The 21,651-nt window shown below is 41.7% G+C and overlaps 1 pseudogene, besides 3 other annotated features; it reads right to left on the bottom strand.

Moving 5' to 3' along the window:
- On the bottom strand, positions 15,002-15,783 carry NFU1P1 (NFU1 iron-sulfur cluster scaffold pseudogene 1; annotated as a pseudogene).
- Positions 20,104-20,603: an enhancer, noted in NCBI's record as "500 bp enhancer 66 fragment used in low-throughput reporter constructs". NCBI's record gives its function as "activates both an SV40 promoter and a TATA-containing promoter in HepG2 and K562 cells {active_cell/tissue: HepG2 | K562}" and the evidence as "EXISTENCE:reporter gene assay evidence [ECO:0000049][PMID:23512712]".
- Positions 20,281-20,425: an enhancer, noted in NCBI's record as "145 bp enhancer 66 fragment used in the MPRA reporter construct; PK_construct_3382". NCBI's record gives its function as "activates an SV40 promoter by MPRA in HepG2 and K562 cells {active_cell/tissue: HepG2 | K562}" and the evidence as "EXISTENCE:reporter gene assay evidence [ECO:0000049][PMID:23512712]".
- Positions 20,348-20,358: a transcriptional cis regulatory region, noted in NCBI's record as "NFE2L2 motif; enhancer activity is lost when this motif is scrambled". NCBI's record gives its function as "necessary for full MPRA enhancer 66 activity {active_cell/tissue: HepG2 | K562}" and the evidence as "EXISTENCE:site-directed mutagenesis evidence [ECO:0005528][PMID:23512712]".

Raw genomic sequence — 21,651 nt, 5'->3', positions numbered from 1 at the left:
ATGTGGTCACCTTCCCAGCTAGGCTTAGGGATTCTTAGTCAGCCTAGGAAATCCAGCTAGTCCTGTCTCTCAATCCCCCCTCTCAACAGGAAAACCCAAGTGCTGTTGGGGAGGTTGGCCAATGACCACTCTAACTGCTTCCTGCTGAATTGGGGTGTAGTAGGTGTTGTGCAGTTGAGATTTCCTCGGGAGGGGTGCCTTCGATGTCATTAACATCAAAGCATGGGCTAGCAGGCCAGTCCAGGGGTCTGCAGTAGATCTTAGTCATGGACTGCATCTGGGGCTCCATTTGAAGAATGATTTGTAGTTTTACAGCTTCGATTCTGGAAGAAACAAACTTAATAAGGAGATTAAAGATACAGGGATTGAAATGTATGGCCTGCAGTGCAGGGGATTACTTCTTTGGCACACTTTACAGGCCCTGACTATCTGCTTGATAGTTTTGAAAAGGCCTGGTCCAGTAAATAATAATTTGGCCATCTGATGGGTGCTATCAATGCCTAAGTGAAAGGTTTGGTGAAGGATTTTAAGTAATTTCCATTGGCTAGCTGCAGGCAAAAGTATTTTTCCTTCTTTGGTGGCTAGCCATCCTGAGGGGAAGGAACTATGTCTTCATGAGTTTCCTCATTCTATTTCTTCTTCTGAGTACTGGGGCTTGGTTTCCTGGAGGAGATTACCCCATAGTAGATGTCCTTCTATAAGCATTTCTAATGGAGGGTCCTGCCTTGCAGCTCTTTTGGCTTCAATATCCGCTTGGTGGTTCCTTTTTATTTCCCTTTCCTTTTCTTTCTGGTGACCCAGGCCGTGTAAGACTGCCACCTCTTTAGGTTTCTGTACAGCCAATAGTAATCTCCTAATGGCTTCCTGATGTTTGATAGGTGTTCCCTCGGAAGTTAGGAATTCCCTTTCTCTCCATATTGCCGCATGGGCATGGAGGACTAGGTAAGCATACTTAGAGTCTGTATATATATATTTACCTTTTTTCCTTTTCCTAATTGTAGTGCCCGAGTGAGGGCTATTATTTCTGCCAGCTGAGCACTAGTTCCTGGAGTGAGGGAATTACTTTCAAGTATTCCATTATCACTGACCACTGCATACCCTGCTTTTCGAAGTCCTTTTTCTACAAAGGAACTTCCATCAGTATACAAGTTGAGATCGGGATCAGTCAAGGGAACCTCTAAAAGATCCCCTTGAGCGGCATAGGTTTGAGCAATTACTTGTTGACAGTTATGTTCTATCTTTTCTTCATTGTCTGGAAGAAATGTGTCTGGATTAAGAGTTGTACAAGTGTGCATTCGCAGCACTGGCCCTTCAAGTAATAGAGCCTGATATTTAAGTAAACGGTTGTCTGACAGCCACAAGTCTCCTTTAGCAGTGAGTATGCCATTCACATCATACTCACTGAGATGTCCACACAGTAAGATCTCTTCCCTGTATTATTTTAACTGTTAAGCATATTTTCATGTGCTTATTAGGCATTTGTATATCTTCTTTGGAGAACTGTGTATTCAAGTGTGTTGCCCAATTTTAATTGGGTAATTTGTCTTTTTATTATTGATTTGCAAGGGTTTATTACACATTCTAGATATAAGTCCCACATCTGATACGTGATTTACAAAATTTCTCTTATTCTTTAGGTTGTCTTTTCACTTTCTTGATGGTGTCCTTTGAAGCACAAGTTTTAAATTTTGATGATGTCTAATTTATCTGTTGTTTTTTCTGTTGCCTGTGCTGTTTCTTCCAAGAGTTTCAAAGTTTTAGCACTTATGTTTAGGTCTTTGATCCATTTTGAGTGTTTCTTTACAGTGTGAGGTAGGGTGTCCATGTTTTTCTTTGCATGTAAATAGTAGATTCAGCAAATTTTTTGCCCACCTGAATCTTTGTTAATTTTATCAATAAAAAATATTATGTCAGTTAGTTTCACTTTTACTTCTATTTGCTAAGAAAATTGAACATACATATTTTCAAGGTAAGAGCGAGTGTTGACCTCCCTAGATGTTGATATTCATAAATGGATTGCTAGGCTAGATTTATCAGGAAAGAATTGTTTCATGTAGAGGGTAGTGGGAATTTGGACCAGGTGATATGAAGGCACACCTCATCTTAGGTATAAAATGAGCAAATAAAGTACTTCCCTCATCTTATGTTTTCTAGAGAAAAAAAAGAGAGTAAAACAAACAGAATAAATCACTCAGGCCCACATTCTATATTATTTTACCATTCAATCCAGTTCAGAGTATATTTACTAAATTTTGACTATGTGCCAGACAGTATACTCAGGACTGGGATACAATAGAAGACTCCAGGAACTCACAGTTTAATAGGAAGACAAACAAATAAGCAATTATATTCTAGTATGCAACATTCTTTAATGGGGGGTAACTAACAGGTTCTAGTGATCCTAATAGTAGAGACATCTAGGTCTGGCAAACAGGCCCTCATAAATGAGATTAGTGCAGTTATCAAAGAGACTCCAGAGAGATGTCTCAGCCATTCCACTATGTGAGGTTACAGCAAAAAGATGGCCATTTATGAGGAAGTGGACCCTCACAAGACAATGAATCTGTCAGCACCTTGGTTTTAGACTTCCCAGCCTCCAGAACTGTGAGAAATAAATTTCTGTTATTTATAAACTACCCAGGCTATGGTATTCTATCATAACAACTCAAACCAACTAAAACAGTAGACCTGTTCCTGGACTTGTTACTTTGTTCCACTGATCTATTTGCCTATCTTTGTAGAAATACCATATTACTTTATTAGTGTAGTGTTTTAATAAAAATTGATAGGTGGGGATTCCTCTAACTTTGTTCTTCTTTGAGATATTCATGTTCTTTTGAATTTTGATATACACTTTTTGGAATACACTTATCAATTTCCAAAATGAAACATTCTTTTATTTTAGATGAGACTACTTATCCATTCTGACACCAACACATACCTAGAAGTACAAGAAAGTTAAATTCCCCTGGACCAACTTTTAACCAGTGGGGGATGGAAGCCAGCAGATAACTATTTTCCTCTTCCATTTCTTATGGGGTCTATTCTGAGGTAATGTCTACTTCTCTCAGAATATCATCAGCAGAGCAGAACCCCAGTTGTTCATAGTATCAATTAGCTTAATAAGGTACATTTGAATTTGCTTTCCATTCTTCCTTGGTTCATTTTTTTTTTAATTTTTTTAGTATTTATTGATCATTCTTGGGTGTTTCTCGGAGAGGGGGATTTGGCAGGGTCATAGGACAATAGTGGAGAGAAGGTCAGCAGATAAACATGTGAACAAAGGTCTCTGGTTTTCCTAGGCAGAGGACCCTGCGGCCTTCCGCAGTGTCTGTGTCCCTGGGTACTTGAGATTAGGGAGTGGTGATGACTCTTAACCAGCATGCTGCCTTCAAGCATCTGTTTAACAAGGCACATCTTGCACCGCCCTTAATCCATTTAACCCTGAGTTGACACAGCACATGTTTCAGAGAGCACGGGGTTGGGGATAAGGTTATAGATTAACAGCATCCCAAGGCAGAATTTTTCTCAGTACAGAACAAAATGGAGTCTCCTATGTCTACCTTCTACACAGACATAGTAACAATCTGATCTCTTTCTTTTCCCCACATTTCCCCCTTTTCTATTTGACAAAACCGCCATCATCATCATGGCCCGTTCTCAATGAGCTGTTGGGTACACCTCCCAGACAGGGTGGCAGCCAGGCAGAGGGGCTCCTCACTTCCCAGACGTGGCAGCCGGGCAGAGGGGCCCCCCACCTCCCAGACGGGGCGGCTGCTGGGCGGGGGCACCCCCCACCTCCCAGACGGGGCAGCTGCCGGACGGGGGCGCCCCCCACCTCCCAGACGGGGCGGCTGCCGGGCGGGGGCGCTCCCCACCTCCCAGATGGGGCGGCAGGGCGGGGACGCTCCTCACTTCCCAGACGGGGCAGCTGCTGCTGGGTGGAGGGGCTCCTCACTTCTCAGACGGGGCGGCCAGGCAGAGGTGCTCCCCACATCCCAGACGATGGGTGGCCGGGAAGAGATGCTCCTCACTTCCTAGAGGAGATGAAGGCCGGGCAGAGGGGCTCCTCACATCCCAGACGATGGGCGGCCAGGCAGAGACGCTCCTCACTTCCTAGACGGGGTGGCAGCTGGGCAGAGGCTGCAATCTCAGCACTTTGGGAGGCCAAGGCAGGCGGCTGGGAGGTGGAGGTTCGGGCCACTGCACTCCAGCCTGGGCAACATTGAGCACTGAGTGAGCGAGACTCCGTCTGCAATCCCGGCACCTCGGGAGGCCGAGGCGGGCAGATCACTCAAGGTCAGGAGCTGGAGACCAGCCCAGCCAACATGGCAAAACCCCATCTCCACCAAAAAATACAAAAACCAGTCAGGCATGGCGGCGCGCGCCTGCAATCCGAGGCACTCGGCAGGCTGAGGCAGGAGAATCAGGCAGGGAGGTTGCAGTGAGCCGAGATCGCGGCAGTACACTCCAGCCTCGGCAACAGAGGGAGACCGTGGAAAGCGGGAGACGGAGACGAGGGAGAGGGGGAGACCGTGGAAAGCGGGAGGAGGGAGAGGGAGAGGGAGAGGGAGAGGGAGAGGGAGAGGGAGAGGGAGAGGTTTCATTTTTTCAATCAGCCTACTCCTGTTCACTAGGATCATTTCCCAAAATAAATTTAAAAGGCCTAGTCTGAGGCTATGCTATTCAACACAACTTACAACAAGTGGTCCCCAACTTGCAATGGTTTGACTTAATGATTTTTGAACTTTACAATGTTGTGTAAGTGACATTCATTCAGTAGAAAACATACTTCAGGTACCATACAACCACTCTGTTTTTTACTTTCAGTATAGTATTCAATAAATTACATTAGAAATTCAACACTTTGCTATAAAATAAGCTTTGTGTTAGGTGATTTTGCCCAGTTGTAGGGTTCTGAGCATGTTTAAGGTAGGCTAGGCTAAGCTATGATGTTTATTAGGTTTGTTGTATTAAATGCGTTTTCGAGAGACTGGGGGATCATGGCAGACAGAAGGCAGGACTAGATTGCAGTTCTGGACAGAGCAACATGCAGAGGCTTGCATTGTGAATTTTAGCTCCAGATCTACTGCAAGAACAAACCAGCAATCCCAAGAGGACCTACAGGACCTCTCAAAAAAGTGGACTGCTCCTGCAGGACCTGGGAAACACCCCAAATACTGTGAGTGCCCAAATGCAGAAGTGAGAAAGGGAGACCCTCCTCTCCCAAACACACACCCCCACTGGAGAAGCTGAAGATCTGTTTGTGGGAGAAGTTTCTGACTTTTACCTGAAGCTGAGTCAAGTTAGAGAGCTGAGTGAAATACAGGCACAGAGGAAGCAGCAGAAAGGCCCTGGGAGCTTGCTGGTTCCCCAGGCAGCCCATTCCTGCCTGGCACCACAGGGATCCATTGGGAGGGTGGCCAGAGGAGCAGGGGGTAAAACTCCACAGGGAGAAGGAATTCTCTAGTTGAACTTTCTAATAATTTGAAAGGGGCAAGAATCCTCCTGGCCGGAACTCGGGGAAGGGTGTGAATCGAGAAGTTTTATTAAAATGTGGTGAGGTGGCTCATGCCTGTAATCCCAGCACTTTGGGAGGCAGAAATGGGCAGATCACTTAAGACTAGGAGTTCCAGACCAGCCTGGCCAACATGATGAAACCCTTTCTCTACTAAAAACACAGAAATTAGCTGGGCATGGTGGCACACACCTGTAATCCCAGCTACTCGGGAGGCTGAGGCACAAGAATCGCTTGAACCAGGAGGCAGAGATTGCAGTGAGCTGAGATCACGCCACTGCACTCCAGCCTGAGCAACAGAGTGAGACTCTATCTAAAAAATAATAATAATTTTAAAAAGGTGTTCTAATGCAGGTATTTCTAAGGCACCTCCCCACCTACCCTCAGAGATATGATCTCCTCTCACCTCCCTAGATGGGTTTCTTCTATAATGTTAGTCTCATATGGTGAGGGGACTTTAAAGTCATAAGAAAAAAGCTTTTCCCAGGGGGTTGGTGTGGCAAGTGGGCAAAGCAGGGCAGAGAAACCCTCCCCGAATGGGAAGCCAGGCTATTGAACAGATTGGTTTAAATTTTCAAGGTTTCAACCTGCAAGGTGTTACTAGTCTATGTTCTGTTCCTGCCACCTGCAGCTCTAAGTCCTTTAAGAAGGACTATGATTTTAGGTAATTGCTCCTCTAGTCTAGCCTCCTGCCTCCACTCCCTTTAAACCCTCCCTCCACACACGCCCCCACACACACATATACACAAAATTTGGGTGTCAAGATGTTCTATTCTGGCTTTTGTGGAGAACAAACTCAGATTAGGCTTCCTAGAGCTCCAGTTCTCATGGAAAATGGAGGAGTCTTAGCTTTGGAATAAACACTACAGATGAAAACTCTTACAGATGCTGGATTTCCTTATCTTTGTGGAGCAAGATAAAACCCCTCATGACACTAATATATTGGCCACAACTTAGGGTCTAGATAATTGCCTCCTTGTAACAATTCTGCCCATTATGGCCCAAAGATCCTATATGGAAAACCCACGTCCCTACTTGTGTTCCCCACAACCCTCTCTTATAATAAGAAATATTTATTTTGAGGTTAGGCTGTGGCATTAAACACATCTCCCCAAACCAGTGAAAATCAGCCCCTTCACGATGACCCCACCCCGTACCTCCATGGGCCTCTGTCCATTGACGTCTTCGGTTGCATGCGGGAATGCCAAGACAACTCTGCCACTGCGTTAGCTCCTCTCTTCTGGCTATCCTAGCATTATTTAACCCAAAAACCTCATTTCTAGAAATCTTTTCCAAGCATACAAGATCACACCTATAATCCCAGCACTTTGGGAGGTGGAGTGGGCAGATCACTTAAGACTAGGAGTTCGAGACCAGCCTGGCAAAAAAAAAAAAAAAAAGATGAGATAATCTAGTAATATTGGTAGCAAAATCTTTAAGTAGGGTTCATATTTCCACTGACTGTGTGTGCAAAGCTCCAAGCATATGTTAGGTACTCAAGAAAGAGCAGCTATTAACATTGTCAGGCAAGATTAGACAGCAGAAATGTCTTGGAAGTAGGCTATTTGGAAGTGGAATAAGAACAGAAATATAAAGCTTTAAAACTCCACTAAATTTCTTCCTTCTCCTTTCCTAAAGCCTTGAAAGTCCTCCTTGGAATGCCCTTTCTGATACTGCTTAGCAGCCACCATTACATTTTTAAATAGCCATATTGATTTTTCCTTGTCTTTACCAGCAAAATCCTCCAGGCTCTGTTGACAGAGCAAAACACTCACTCTGCCTCTTTCAAGCTCTTTTCAAATGCAGTACACTGCACCAGCTTTTCATGCATCAGTCTGGGGAAAAATCAACCCAAGAAAGCTATGGGATCTCTGCAGATTACCTGTCTGTTCTTGGCCAATGTCTGCAAATCAGAATCATGCAAGTCAGGGACAGGCTGGAATTGAGTCAGTCAGGCCCTTGCGAGAGTTGTAGGTTCTTTTTTTTTATGCTAGAGAAAGGGAAATGGATAAAATTCCAGGGATCTGGTTCACTTGTCTTTGCCCTTCATACATGTGTTGCTTCTCCCATACTTATCCTGGCTGGGAGGGCAGGTGGTGGCTGCCAGCTCTTATCAAGACAATGCCTGGGAAGCCAGATGCTGAATCCTACCTGCAGTGCTTGTAGCCCTGCCAGAGCCCAGACATGTAGACAGTGGCAACATGGCCCAGCAATGACATTTCATGAAGACTGACTCCAGTGGTCTGGACTGATGCTTTGTTCCTCGTGTTTCCTAGAAACACCTGCCCATTGCTCTCGCTCTCGCTCTCCCTCTCCCTCTCCCTCTCCCTCTCTCTTTCCACGGTCTCCCTCTGATGCCGAGCCGAAGCTGGACTGTGCTGCTGCCATCTCAGCTCACTGCAACCTCCCTGCCTGATTCTCCTGCCTCAGCCTGCCGAGTGCCTGCGATTGCAGGTGCGCGCCGCCACGCCTGACTGGTTTTCGTATTTTTTTGGTGGAGACGGGGTTTCACCCTGTTGGCCGGGCTGGTCTCCAGCTCCTAACCGCGAGTGATCTGCCAGCCTTGGCCTCCCGAGGTGCCGGGATTGCAGATGGAGTCTCGTTCACTCAGTGCTCAATGTTGCCCAGGCTGGAGTGCAGTGGCGTGATCTCGGCTAGCTACAACCTCCACCCCCCAGACACCTGCCTTGGCCTCCCAAAGTGCTGGGATTGCAGCCTCTGCCCAGCCACCACCCCGTCTGGGAAGTGAGGAGCGTCTCTGCCTGGCCGCCCATCGTCTGGGATGTGAGGAGCCCCTCTGCCCGGCCGCCCAGTCTGGGAAGTGAGGAGCGCCTCTTCCTGGCCGCGACCCCGTCTGGGAAGTGAGGAGCGTCTCTGCCCGGCCGCCACCCCGTCTGGGAGGTGTACCCAACAGCTCATTGAGAACAGGTCATGATGACGATGGCGGTTTTGTCGAATAGAGAAGGGGGAAATGTGGGGAAAAGATACAGAAATCAGATTGTTGCTGTGTCTGTGTAGAAAGAAGTAGACATAGGAGACTCCGTTTTGTTCTGTACTAAGAAAAATTCTTCTGCCTTGGGATGCTGTTGATATATGACCTTACCCCCAACCCGGTGCTCTCTGAAACATGTGCTGTGTCCACTCAGGGTTAAATGGATTAAGGGCGGTGCAAGATGTGCTTTGTTAAACAGATGCTTGAAGGCAGCATGCTCGTTAAGAGTCATCACCACTCCCTAATCTCAAGTACCCAGGGACACAAACACTGCGGAAGGCCGCAGGGTCCTCTGCCTAGGAAAACCAGAGACCTTTGTTCACTTGTTTATCTGCTGACCTTCCCTCCACTATTGTCCTATGACCCTGCCAAATCCCCCTCTGTGAGAAACACCCAAGAACGATCAATAAAAAAAAAAAAAAAAAAAAAAAGAAACACCTGCCCATTGAATAATGCCCTGCTAGGAGTGATGGAAAGAAAGGGTCACCCTTCAGTGCCCTCACAACCTGAAAGGACTTTTCCTCTGTGGTCAGCAGCCCCTGGGCAGACCAGCATGGCAGCTCTTCAACTCTCTGAGACAGGTGGGGAGGCAGGGAATGGGAGGACACAGCAAAGTAAGTATGTGGTAGGGAAAGCCCCAAAGAGAGAAGGATAGGACCTCTTATCTGAATACCTTTCCTCACTTTCCACCCCAGAAGTGTGGGATTAGGGAAAGGTTAGAGAAACCTTCTAGGGACTAGAAAGAACTTTGGGTTTTTATTCATGAATTCACTTGAATTCTGGTGTGCTTAATGTTTAATATTATGATATATAGCAAGATATACAGAACAATGTTCTATCATGTAGTAAATACCTATGTAATCATCATGAAGGCCAACAAACAACATTACCAACAGACCAGAAGCTTCCTTAGTGCTCCATTCCAATCTCTGTTCTACCTCCTTCCCAAAGGCAATTACTACACTGATTTTTGAGGCAATTTATTCTTGTTTCTCTTAATTTTGTCTATCTCCTGGTGTGGGAAAAACTTTAGAATGTAAGTATCTTCTTGTCTCCAGCTTCTTTGGTTCAATATAATGTTTACAAGAATCATCATGTTACCCATAACTGTTGTTTGTCCAATGCTATTTTTCTACTGTATTTAAGTAAATGAATATACCATGAATTACTTATCTATTTTACTGTTGATGGACATTTGGGTTTTTTTCCAGCTTTTGTCTACTAAGAATAGTGCCATTATCAACATTGGTGTTATGTCTGTTGATTCACGTGGCATATTTATAGAAGTTTATACTCAGGATTGGAATCACTGAGCTTAAGTTATGTGTATCTTTAAATTTTATAGATAATTTTAAACATTACAAAGTGAATGAGAATTCCTGTTGCTCCATATCCTCATCAACATTGGCTATTGTCAGTCTCTTTACTTTTGGCCATTCTGGCTCATGTTCATTAGTTTTAACAAATATTTTCCTAAGTACTGATGAGGGTAAACACTTTTTCTTTTTTTCTTGGGCACTTGTTCACATACAGATATAGATGTAGCTAGATAGAGAGAGATAAAGATAGAGATCGAGAAAGAGATAGAGATAGAGATGATAGAGAGATAGAATCTGTTCAGGTCTCTTGCCCATTGTTCTTTGGGTTATCTTTTTCTTATTCATTTGTGAGAGGTTTTTTTTTAATATGCTGGATATGAGCAGGTTATGATATGAGCTGGATATGAGTGCTATGTATTACAAAAATCTCCTTTCACTCTGTGACTTGACTTCTGTACCTTTGTCTTCTTTATATTCTTATTCTATTTATCTTCTGTAATTTCTTATTTGATTTTTTTAGAGATAATTTCTTTTTAAATTATTTCTTCTGCAATTTATGTCTTTTAAATTATCTTAAGCTCTTCTTTAATTCATATCAATAATAATGTATTGGATTGTACTTAGGCCTTTTTCCCATCTTTTGTTAGATTTATTCCTATGTATTTTATATGTTTATGTCATTATGAAGTATATTTTGTATTTTTATATCATTACAGAAAAACAGTTGTTTTTTGCTTATTTAATGGTATCTTTTGGTGAACAGAAGTTTTCAGTTTGACTGTAGTGTAATTTATCTTCTACCTATTATTAGTTCTTTCAATATTTTATTTATGAAGTTTTTAATCTCTTTTCTGAAATCATAAAGCTATGTTCTCTTACCTTCTAAAAGTTTATTGATTCATGTTTCACAATTAGATCTACAATTCTCCTGGAGTTAATTTTTAGGTATAGTATGATGTAGAAGGCTAATTTTATATTGTCCAGCACAATGTTTTGAAAAGATTAACATTTCCTCCACTATTCTGCAGTGATCCATTTGTTATAAAGCAAGGGTCTTTATGTATGTGAGTTTGCCTTGTGTAAATAACCCATTTATTAGTTTATACTAAATGTTGATATTTTGTTGGACAAATTTTTCTAACTTGCTTACTTTTTCAAAACTCTTGTCTATTTTTGGTTCTTTATACTTCCACATAAATTTTAGAACTGCTTTGTCATTTCTCACAAAATGTGGGGGTTTTATTAGAACTGCATTGCATTTATAGACAAGTTTTAAGAAAACTGATAATTTTATATTACTGAATCTCCTCATCCATAAACATGGTTTATTCTTTCATTTATTTAGCTATTCTTTATCTCAATAATAATGTATTGTTTTCAACATTGACTTCTTGCCCATTGTTTATTAGATTGCTACTAGCCATTTCATATTTTTGTGTCATTATGAATGGTTGCTGTGACACAGATAAACAGTTGATTTTTGCTTATTAATGTTTATTTAATAAAGTTGTCAAACTATGATGGCTTTTTCCTTTGTCACCCTCCTAGTTTGAACTATAGTCCCCAGTTCCTCAATCAAATGCTAATCTTTCTGTTATTGTGAAAGGATTTTGCATATGTGCATCAAGTCTCTGATTAACTGACTTTAAGTTAATCTAAAGGAAGCTTATCCTTAGTGGGCCAGGATCAAAGGAGCCCTTCACTAGATGGATTGTGGCCTTCCCTTAGTTCAGAGAGATTCTCCTGTTTGCCTCAAAAAATAAGCAATCTGCTGTTTACTTATACAATTGCAAGGAAATGAATTACGGTGCATGAGCATGGAAGAAGCCCTCAGATGAGACCACAGCCCACCTGACACCTTTTTTTTTTTCCTTTTTTTCTTTTTTTTGAGACAGAGTCTCACTCTGTCACCCAGGCCGGAGTGCAATGGCGTGATCTTGGCTCACTGCAACCTCCACCTCCCAGGTTCAAGCGATTCTCCTGCCTCAGGCTCCTGAGTAGCTGGGACTACAGGCACGCACCACCACGCCCGGCTTGTTTTTACATTTTTTAGTAGAGACAGGGTTTCACTATATTGGCCAGGCTGGTCTCAAACTCCTGACCTTGTGATCCACTCACCTTGGCCTCCCAAAGTGCTGGGATAACAGATGTGAGCCACTGCGCCCAGCCCCAGATTTTACCTTTACTGCAGCCTTTCAAGATCTGGAGCAGGGGACCCAGCTGAGCTGTAACTGGACTCCTGACCAAAGGAAATTGTGAGATAAAAAATGTAGGTCGTTTAAGCACAAATGTAGATTTGTGATAATCTGTTACACAGCAAGAGGAAACTAACAGAAATTTTAGATTCTTAGAGTGTTAGACTTTTTTTTTTTTTTTTAAGTTGGAGTCTCACTCTGTCACCAGGCTGGAGTGCAGTGGTGCGATCTCAGCTCACCGCAACCTCCACCTCCCAGGTTCAAGCGATTCTCCTGCCTCAGCCTCCCGAGTAGCTGGGACTACAGAGACACATGCATGTCCCCCTGCCCAGATAATTTTTGTATTTTTAATAGAGACGGGTTTTCACCATGTTGGCCAGGATGGTCTCAATCTCTTGACCTCGTGATCCACCCACCTCGGCCTCCCAAAGTGCTGGGATTACAGGCACGCACCACCGTGCCCGGCAGAGTGTTAGACATTTTTACATAAATTATATTACTTGTGAATAATACTAATTTTATTTAATCATATTTAATCTTCTTAACTTTTCTTTGTTCTACAGCCATTAATTAGGACTTCCAAAACAATGTTGAATGTATGGTTTTTTTTTTTCGCTTTATTCTGTTAATGTGGAGGATTTCACTGTTTGATTTTCAAATGTTAAATTAACCCTGTATTTCTAGAACAAAACCATTTGTTCAATGTGTATTACCACTTTAAAATATTGCTGAATTTGCTAATATGCAGGCTATTTCCATCTTTATTAAAGAGTGAAATTTACCTGTAAATTTTCTTTTTTTTTTTTTTTTTTTTTTTTTGAGATGGAGTCTCGCTCTGTCGCCCAGGCCGGACTGCGGACTGCAGTGGCGCAATCTCGGCTTACTGCAAGCTCCGCTTCCCGGGTTCACGCCATTCTCCTGCCTCAGCCTCCCCAGTAGGTGGGACTACAGGCGCCCGCCATACCTGTAAATTTTCTTTCTTGTAGTACCCATACCAGACTTTGGTATCAAGGTTATGGTGACCTCCTAAAATGAGCTGAGCTCATATGTCTAGACCTCCACTGCCCGCTGGCTCTTGGTCTAGTCATTCTTCAATATCTTGCTAGTTCTTCTGTGCCTTCAAGATTTTTTTCTTTTTTTCAGGTTTTCTAGTTGTCATCAGTTGGGGGCAGGAGTGCAATTCAAATTACCTCATATTTAAATTTCATTCATTCCTTAAACATCTATTTATTTGGCCTTCCTGTGTGCTTGCCCCTAATGAGTCAAGAGTCCTATGGTGAAGGCACAAAAGGAACCATCAATTGCTGTCTAGCGTGATGAGTTCTCTGATAGAAGAGCTATGTGAATACATTAAAACTGCACCTCAGTGATTTGGAAGAAGATAAATAAAAAGCAGTTGGACAGAGAAAAGAGAAAAACATTCCAAGCAGAGGGAAAGCATATGCAAAGTTCTAGAGCTGAGAAGAGGTTGTTTCATTTGGAGAGCTGCCCTGATTCATGCTGGTAGGAGGAGAGAGTACAGGTGCAGAAAAAGCTGGGTCCTAGCTGTGAAGTGTTTGGCTGCCATATATTTTCATTTGGACTTTATTCTTAAGGTGACAAGGAGCCTATGGTGGGTCTGAGCTGCAGAGTGACACCATATGGCATTTGCATTTCAGATTGATTATTCTGCTTGTTGTGTGGAGAATGGATTGGATAAGGAAGAGATGGAGGTTGGAGAGCTTTTGGAAGATTGTTTTAGTGATTAGATAACAGATGATGGTGGCTTCTCTTGGGTAATGGTGAAAGGTTGTATCAAAGACAACTGTCATGAGATATTTAAGAAGCACAAATTGATGTGCATAAATATAGGGGGAGTGAGAGGAAAAAGAGGAGCTTAATGATTCTGATATTTATAGCTTAGACAAGTGCATGGGATAGGGAAAACAAAGCCAGCCCTTTTCTTTCTATTACAAGAGGTGGGTTTTGCCAGAGACTAGTCAAAGCTAAAAATAAACAACATGCATGAAAATAAACAACATGCATTATTGGCCTTTTTATAAACATGAGGTTGGGTGTATAAATATATAGTTGCCAGATATAGCTTTCACAGAGATCATTCTGCTCCCACTACACAGAGCCCCAAGATCAGGAAGAATAAGTTTTGTTTTAAATTCCAAACATACTGAGCACTCGCATCATTCAGGGTACTTGATGTCAGTCACCTGCCACATGGTAAAGGATCACTAGCAACAATAACAATGGCAGAAAGCTGGCCACCACCTCGGCCCTGGGTCAATTTGCTGAAGCTCAATTTGTGATAAATGAATAGCTTTTAATTAGCTCATCCAATTATCTACTGATCACTCAATGATATTTTAACTAAATAACAATTGACTCTAAACTTTTGGGCAAATAAACTAGAATAAGACAGCTTACTGCATGATCTTCCTGCAAGGGGCTGTGCAAGTGCCAGGGCAGTCATAAGCATAGAATACCATGAAACACTGGATTTTGTGCATAAGAGAAATGTCATCTTTTCTTATATAAAATGTATAGACAGGAAAATGTAAAAGCCAAGGCAAGAGCGGGGATGATGCTGATGCAAAATTGAATGTAAAAATAAAATTCTTAAATATTCAGCAAGTTGCTCTTTTAGTGAAATTATTTTGGAAAATGAATTTTCAGAGACTTGACCCTCTTACTCTTTTAATCTTTCTGAACCTGCTCCCTCAACGTAAAATGAAGATAATAAAGAATGCCTACATTGTAGGGTTATTGTAAGGATTACATAAAATAATAAATAGTATCAAGCACTGTGCCTAGAACATGGACAGTGATCAACAAATAAGTTACAGCTGATATTATTGACTCAATACATGCTTTTTGAATTAATGATATAAAAACCAGATGGTCAAATAAAATCAGTCAGTGGAAAATGATTGGCTATAGTGTGCCAGACATTTCCATAAGTTCTTCATTCGATCTTTTTTTTGGACTCTGAAGAAATGGCATATTTTATTAATCTTCAAGTTCTTCAGCATATTAATAATAACAGCTTGGTATATATTATCGATAAGTCCGACTATTGTACCCAAAGAATATCCAGATTATTTTAAGGTGAGTTTGCTTCCTTTTCATCTGATTCATCATCCATACCCTGTTCTACACCTTCTACCTCTGGAATATAAACTGCAGCATGTTCTGAATTCCATTTTTCAGAGTAATGATTGAACTAGGGCAGCTGGTACAAGAACCCTGGAGTTTCAGTCATACGATACCATCTTCAAAACCTTTGTAGATTACGTCTCCTCCATCTTCTTGCACAGTTGGCCACATTCTAGTATCTAACACTTCCTTAATCAATGCCACAACTTCATCATCTTCACATCCTGCTTCTCCTTGAAGATGTTTCCTCAGTAACTAGGGGTAAACCAGATGCAAAGAAGTCCGTGGTTGTTGCGTAAATATCTGGTTTCAGTAAATTCCAGTCTAATTTTTCATTTTCCTTTGTGGCAGTGATGAAATCTGGCCCAAAGAAAACACTTTTTACTCCTTCAATCCTAAATAACTGCCTAGCCAAAGGGGAGCAAAATGCTGCAGCTGGGGTGGGAAAATCCATGGGCCTTGTCTCAAAAACTGGTTTTCATGGTATAAACTTTAAACTGTTAGGATTTGAGATATCTTGTGTTTGAATAAACATGTATCTCACTGGGTTACAAAAGGCTGCAGGTAGTGGGAAGAGTAGTCTTTCTACAAATTGATGCAGAGGCTGTTTCTCTTTTTTTTGAGACAGAGTCTCACTCTGTTGCCTAGGCTGGAGTGCAGTGGCACGATCTCGGCTCACTGCAACCTCTGCCTCCCGGGTTCAAGCAATTCTCTGCCTCAGCCTCCCGAGTAGCGGGGATTACAGGCAACTGCCACCACGCCTGGCTAATTTTCGTATTTTTAGTAGAGATGGGGTTTCACCATCTTGGCCAAGCTGGTCTTGAACTCCTGACCTCGTGATCCACCCACCTCGGCCTCCCAAAGTGCTGGGATTACAGGCGTGAGCCACCATGCCCGGCCCAGAGGCTGTTTCTTAATGGTGTATAGATTGATTCTTCAACAAATGATAGAATCACCTGCGCAGCCCCACGGCAACAGTCACAGCTCCCCAGCCATGCCGGGCCTCTGCTGCCATCTTAGTCCCAGAGTCTCCATCTTCATGCCATTGCGTAAAGTAGATACTATTATCTCTGCTTTCAGATGAAGCATGTGAGGTTGAAACAGGTAAAGCATCTGTTCAAATAGTGAAGCATCTGCCTTTTGAATCCAATGGTGGATCCCAGGGCAGTTTAACATGTTGGTTAAGTCATGGCTGTGGATTCAGACAAACTTAGGTTCCTTCTGGGCTCCAACACCTACTTGACTTCTTAGGGTGCATAATTTATTATCCTCTTTTAGTCTCAGTTTCCTTATCAACAAGGCTGGTATAATTACACCCATCTAAAAGGTGTGTGAGGCTCAAAGAAGATGATGGGTTGTCAGTTCCCACTTGGCTCCCCTTCTTCAGCACCCCACCACTTGCTCAGTCCAGTGTGTTCCCATGAGTGTAGATTGACCTTTATTGTCAATAGTGTGTTCTGCCACAGCTTCTCTGGGTGAAAGACTTTGATTGGCCTTTCCATGGTTTCTAGGGTATGTAGAGGAGCAGGTTGCCCTTTCCTGATACCATGTTCTGGCATATAGACAAAAATATAGTTCTTAGACTTATAATCAGGTTTTGTCCCCAGCAGAGTCACAATAACATGATCACCCACTCGTCACTTGAGTACTGTCATTTTCCTTTGTCCTTTACAGGAGACCAGAGGGTCAGGTTTGTTTTCTAAATGCCTTGGAGGAAACATGCGGTTCCCCAGATCTTTAAATTAATTCTTCTCCCTTCTTGTTCCCTATATCCTATGGTTTTATGAATTACCTCATGAGCCCACCAAATGTGTCAGGAATGACAGACTGTACAACTTGTGGTCAGTGACTCGAAAGTGTCAGTAACCACTAAGACAGACATGAGCTTGATGCAAAGGCCCCCTCCCATAATTAAGCAACTATAATTCCTAATATTTATGAGCACAGTGCCATTATCATTGAGTTAAAATGAATTGAAGATTAACTTAATCTGCTTTAATTACAGATTTTGAGAAATCTAATGGACAATGTGTATTTGTCTGAGAATGAAGAAACAAATTATAAGTCTAGTTTTCTCAGATAGATCTTCAACAAGTGACTTCACTGCTGTTGGCCTTAGTTTTATACTGTGAAAACTAAAATACTTTTTTAAGAATGTCTACCCAGCTTAGCTCAATAAAAATGGGTCTGATGAGAAAATGGATTTGAAAGGGTTTATGGAAAAAGGTGAAAGCATTATATTTATGCTAAGAAGCATCATGATTAGAAAAGTTTTCTTATTTTTGTGTAAAGAGCACTAGACCAGATATTCAGAAGGGCATTTAAAATTTGCTAATGTAGACAGAAGCTTATGGAAGCCAATTACTGTAGTAAGGAGCAAGAGGGAGTGCTGTAGAGTCATTTTTAGCAGATCTAGACACAGAGCCTTCAGTAAGCAAAGATTATGAACAGGAAGCATTATAAAGCTGTTTCAGGAAAAGAATTTTATCTAGCAGAATGAAAATTGCTCATGCCAATTAGGGATTTTAGTTTAGCCCACTAATAGGGGTACACAATACACAGTAATGAATTCCTCTCTACACCCCACTTCTTGTGTCTCAAAAGATTGCTTACAAAAAAATCTAGAGTACAAAGAAAATGAGGAAAATCCAAGAATTATCAATGGACAAGATTGCACATAATACTGTTCCAGTTGACTGAATCTTCTTGTTAATTAAGCATTAATGGAATGCCCATGATTTATTTAATTATAGAATATCAGGACTTGGAAGGATCATAGAGAATGTCAAGTCCAAGGATCTGTATAATGCTCCCTGGAGACCTTCTATTGATCCCCTTCAAGGGCCATCCCAAGAATAGGGGAAAAAACTGAGCAGGCAAGGTTTTGAGGCCCCTAACATACTATGCTCCCAACTTTATGCTACAGTAGTTCTATTTTATATCTGATTAACACTTGGGCTTCTCTGAAAGATGTTGATGCCCTCAAAAATTACATGAATAGAGCTTACAGGTTTTTGGAGGATAATGGCAGCTGTCTAAATTAGAATCAATTCCTACATCCTCCAGAAAATGTACAGACCATTAAAGAAAGCAAGGGAAACCACCCTCAACCATGCTATAGCATAATTAGGAGACAGAGATGACTAACATCATCAGCTCATATGTAAGTAGGGGAATAAATATTCAAAACAGCAAAGTCGGAGCCAGCTTCAGAACTCACACCCAAATGGAGCATCGGGCAGAGACTGCGTGGGAAAGAAGAGGACAGCAGGAGCCTAGCTGTGATGAAAAACAAAATAAAGCACACCAGAGGGAAATGGCCTCACCCTCCGTGGAGCAAAATGAGAGCATCTAAAACCTGGTGAACCACAACACAGGCTATGGATGGGGTTGGGGTGGTTATAAGGAAATTGAAAGGAAATGATCTGAGAGTGCACTGCTTCTGGGGAATAAGGAGGCAACCAACAGGGAAGATGTCTTTTGGAATCTTCATGGTAAATGAAAAGACAGAAGCACAAGTTTGAATGTAAGGGTCTTAGAGAAACAAAAAGCTCATAAAATTAGGAAGCTAATTATTTTTCCCCTCCCCCAAGCAGCCACCATTAAAGAAACTGTACTTCAGCATGTCAACAAAGAATGTGGTCTTGAACTAAGCAAGCTCGTAAAATATCCAAACTCCTTAACCAAAGTGCTCTGGGGTACGGAGCAGGGAGAGAGAAATCTCAAGCAGCAAAAGGAGTCTACAAAATCTCCATGAAGAAGGTGATACTGGAGATGAGACAAGAAATTGTAATGGAAATTCTATTTGATGCCAGGTGCTGTGGCTCACACCTGTAATCAATCCCAGCAATTTGAGGGGCTGAGGTGGGGGGATCACTTGAGGTCAGGAGTTTGAGATCAGCCTGGCCAACATGGGGAAACCCTGTCTCTGCTAAAAATTCAAAAAGTAGCTGGGTGTGGTGGCATGCACCCTATAGTCTCAGCTACTTGGGAGGCTGAGGCACGAGAATCACTTGAACTTGGGAGGTGGAGGTTGCAGTGAGCTGAGATCATGCCACTGCAATTCAACCTAGGCGACAGAGTGAGACTCTGAAAACATTCTATTTGATGTATTTTTAAAAGCCATGGGCTTTAGAATTACGTAGATGATGAGGAGATTCTACCTATTATGCTGTGTTATGTTACACACATATTTTGTTACTTTTTTCCAACAATGTATTGTGAACATTATTTCACCATGTCATTATTTTTCTACATAACCATTTTAAATGATTTAATAGCATTTTATTATATTTATTGCACTGCTTTTACTTTATTTAATTTCCTCTTATTATAGAATCAAGTCATTTCTATTTTTTCTGTTATTAATAGCGTCATAAAAGATATCCTTGTGATATTTTTGTGCTCATCCACATTTTGCAGACACCAAAGGCAAATTTGAATATTATTGAATTGTGCTCCAAGAAAGCTGTGCTCATTTGCACTCTGGCTAACTGTGTAAGTAAGATAACAACTCTTTTCTGCTTGGCAATGGGTCCCATGTTTCTACAGTTATAGGACACTTTACTGAGCACTATCGTTAAAAAGGGCAATGTCATTTTATCACTTCCTGCCCAACACATAAGCTTCATCATAATTCTCATGAGTGTTGAAGATTAAATAGAATGATATATGCAGTACACCACATAGTAAGTGCTTACTAATATTTTCCATCCCTCTAGTTTTCTTGAACCCAATTGTATTTCTTGCCTTACCATCTCTTAAAAACAGGTATTTTCATTTTTATAAACACTTTGTTGAAAACGTGTTAATAAGTATTCTATTGTACCAATAAAATAGAAATTGTGCTGCTTTTATTTCCAGATTTCACAAACAAGCCCGCATCAGACAGATTCATGCTTCTGCTGTTTCTGCAAAACTTCCCTCGCCTGCTTCTTAGCCTTTTGGCTATCCTGGTGAAAGCCCTCTTGATTTCATTGGCTGCTCTGCAGAGGTCCAAGTATCTCTGTAAGCAACAGAGCTTCCATTCCCTGGTCCTATTCATTGACCTGCTCCCCTGTTCCATAGTGGCAACTCATGAAGCAGAAATCTGCCTGCCCCCTTTGTCATACTTACAATCTCTAGTCAGGGCCCAACTGACTCACTGGCCTGCTAAGTCAATGAATCATACACCACTGTGACTCAGCCCTTTTCCTTTTATTAAGATAATGAGGAAGTCTCTTCATAGAGTCATGGCATTTGTTATCAGAAAGAAAATTCACCGAGATCAGTTGATGAATATATTTTTATTCATTACAGAGAAAGGTCACATTAAGCTGAAAAATAGAAAATCAGAAACTATTTTATAGGTGATATTGGAGGAGACAAAATAGACCAATGTGCCCTTTTTGAGTGAAACAGAATTATTCTCTCCTCCCAAGTGAGATGTAATGACTGCAGTAGTGGGTGAATTATTGAACTGAAAATGTGGCTGGATGGTGTGAAAATAACAAAAAGCTATTAAATGTAATTTTAATCTCTGACACACTAAGAGGAATGACATAAAATTGAGCATCTAATGGTTTTATATTTGTATAAAGTAGTCAATCTCCTAGAGTTAAGCTGCTTATGAACAAACTCTTTTTTTGAATTTCAAACTTTGATAATATATTATAAAACATTTTTGGAAACTGTAGTATAATATAAAATATAGTTCATCTTTATCCCAGGCTCCTGTCACAGAGATCCTAAAACCCCTGGAATTTCCTGAGTGATAAGAGTGTCTTGTTATCCATAAGGAGCCCCTTTTGATCACACTCGAATTTATGTTAATGGAGGTACTTAGGTTGGGGTCTCTAGATAGCTTCAAGATGGGGGCTGGATACCAGAAAGACTAAGAGTTAAAGGGTTGGAACTTTCAGCCCCACCCACCTACCTCTGGGAAGGGGTAAGGAGGCCTGGAGATTAAACTCTATAAAAAAAAAAACAAAACTCTTGAACAACAAGATTTGATTTGATGAGCTTCTGGGTTTCTGAATAGGTGGAGGTTCTGGGAGGGTGGCACACTCAGATAAGGCGTGGAAGCTCCACTCCACCCGCCTCAATACCCTGCCCTATGCACCTCTTCCATCTGGCTCTTTTGTTTTCTTTATAATAAAGCAGGAAACATAAGTGATGTGTTTCCCCGAGTTCCGTGAGCCATTCTAACAAGTCATCAAAACTAAGGAGAGGGTCATGGGAACGTGTGATTTATAGCTGCTCTGTCAGAAGCACTGGAGGCCCAGACTCGTGATTGGCATCTGAAGTGGGCAGTCTTGTAGGATTAAGCCCTTAACTTGTGGGATCTGAACCTAACTCCAGGTAGATAGTGTAAGAATTGAGTTAAATTGTAGGATATTCAGTTGGTGTTTGGAGAGTTAGAGAATTGCTTGATATCTGATATCAGAAGTGTTGTGTGAGAGTATAGATTGTGTTTCCCAGAGAAGCTTAATATGTGAATAT

This window comes from Homo sapiens, chromosome 3 (genome assembly GCF_000001405.40).
Source record: "Homo sapiens chromosome 3, GRCh38.p14 Primary Assembly".
In the NCBI taxonomy this organism is placed as follows: Eukaryota; Metazoa; Chordata; class Mammalia; order Primates; family Hominidae; genus Homo; species Homo sapiens.
Note: the sequence above shows the minus strand (reverse complement) of the source record. Positions and strands in the feature narration are given on the sequence as shown.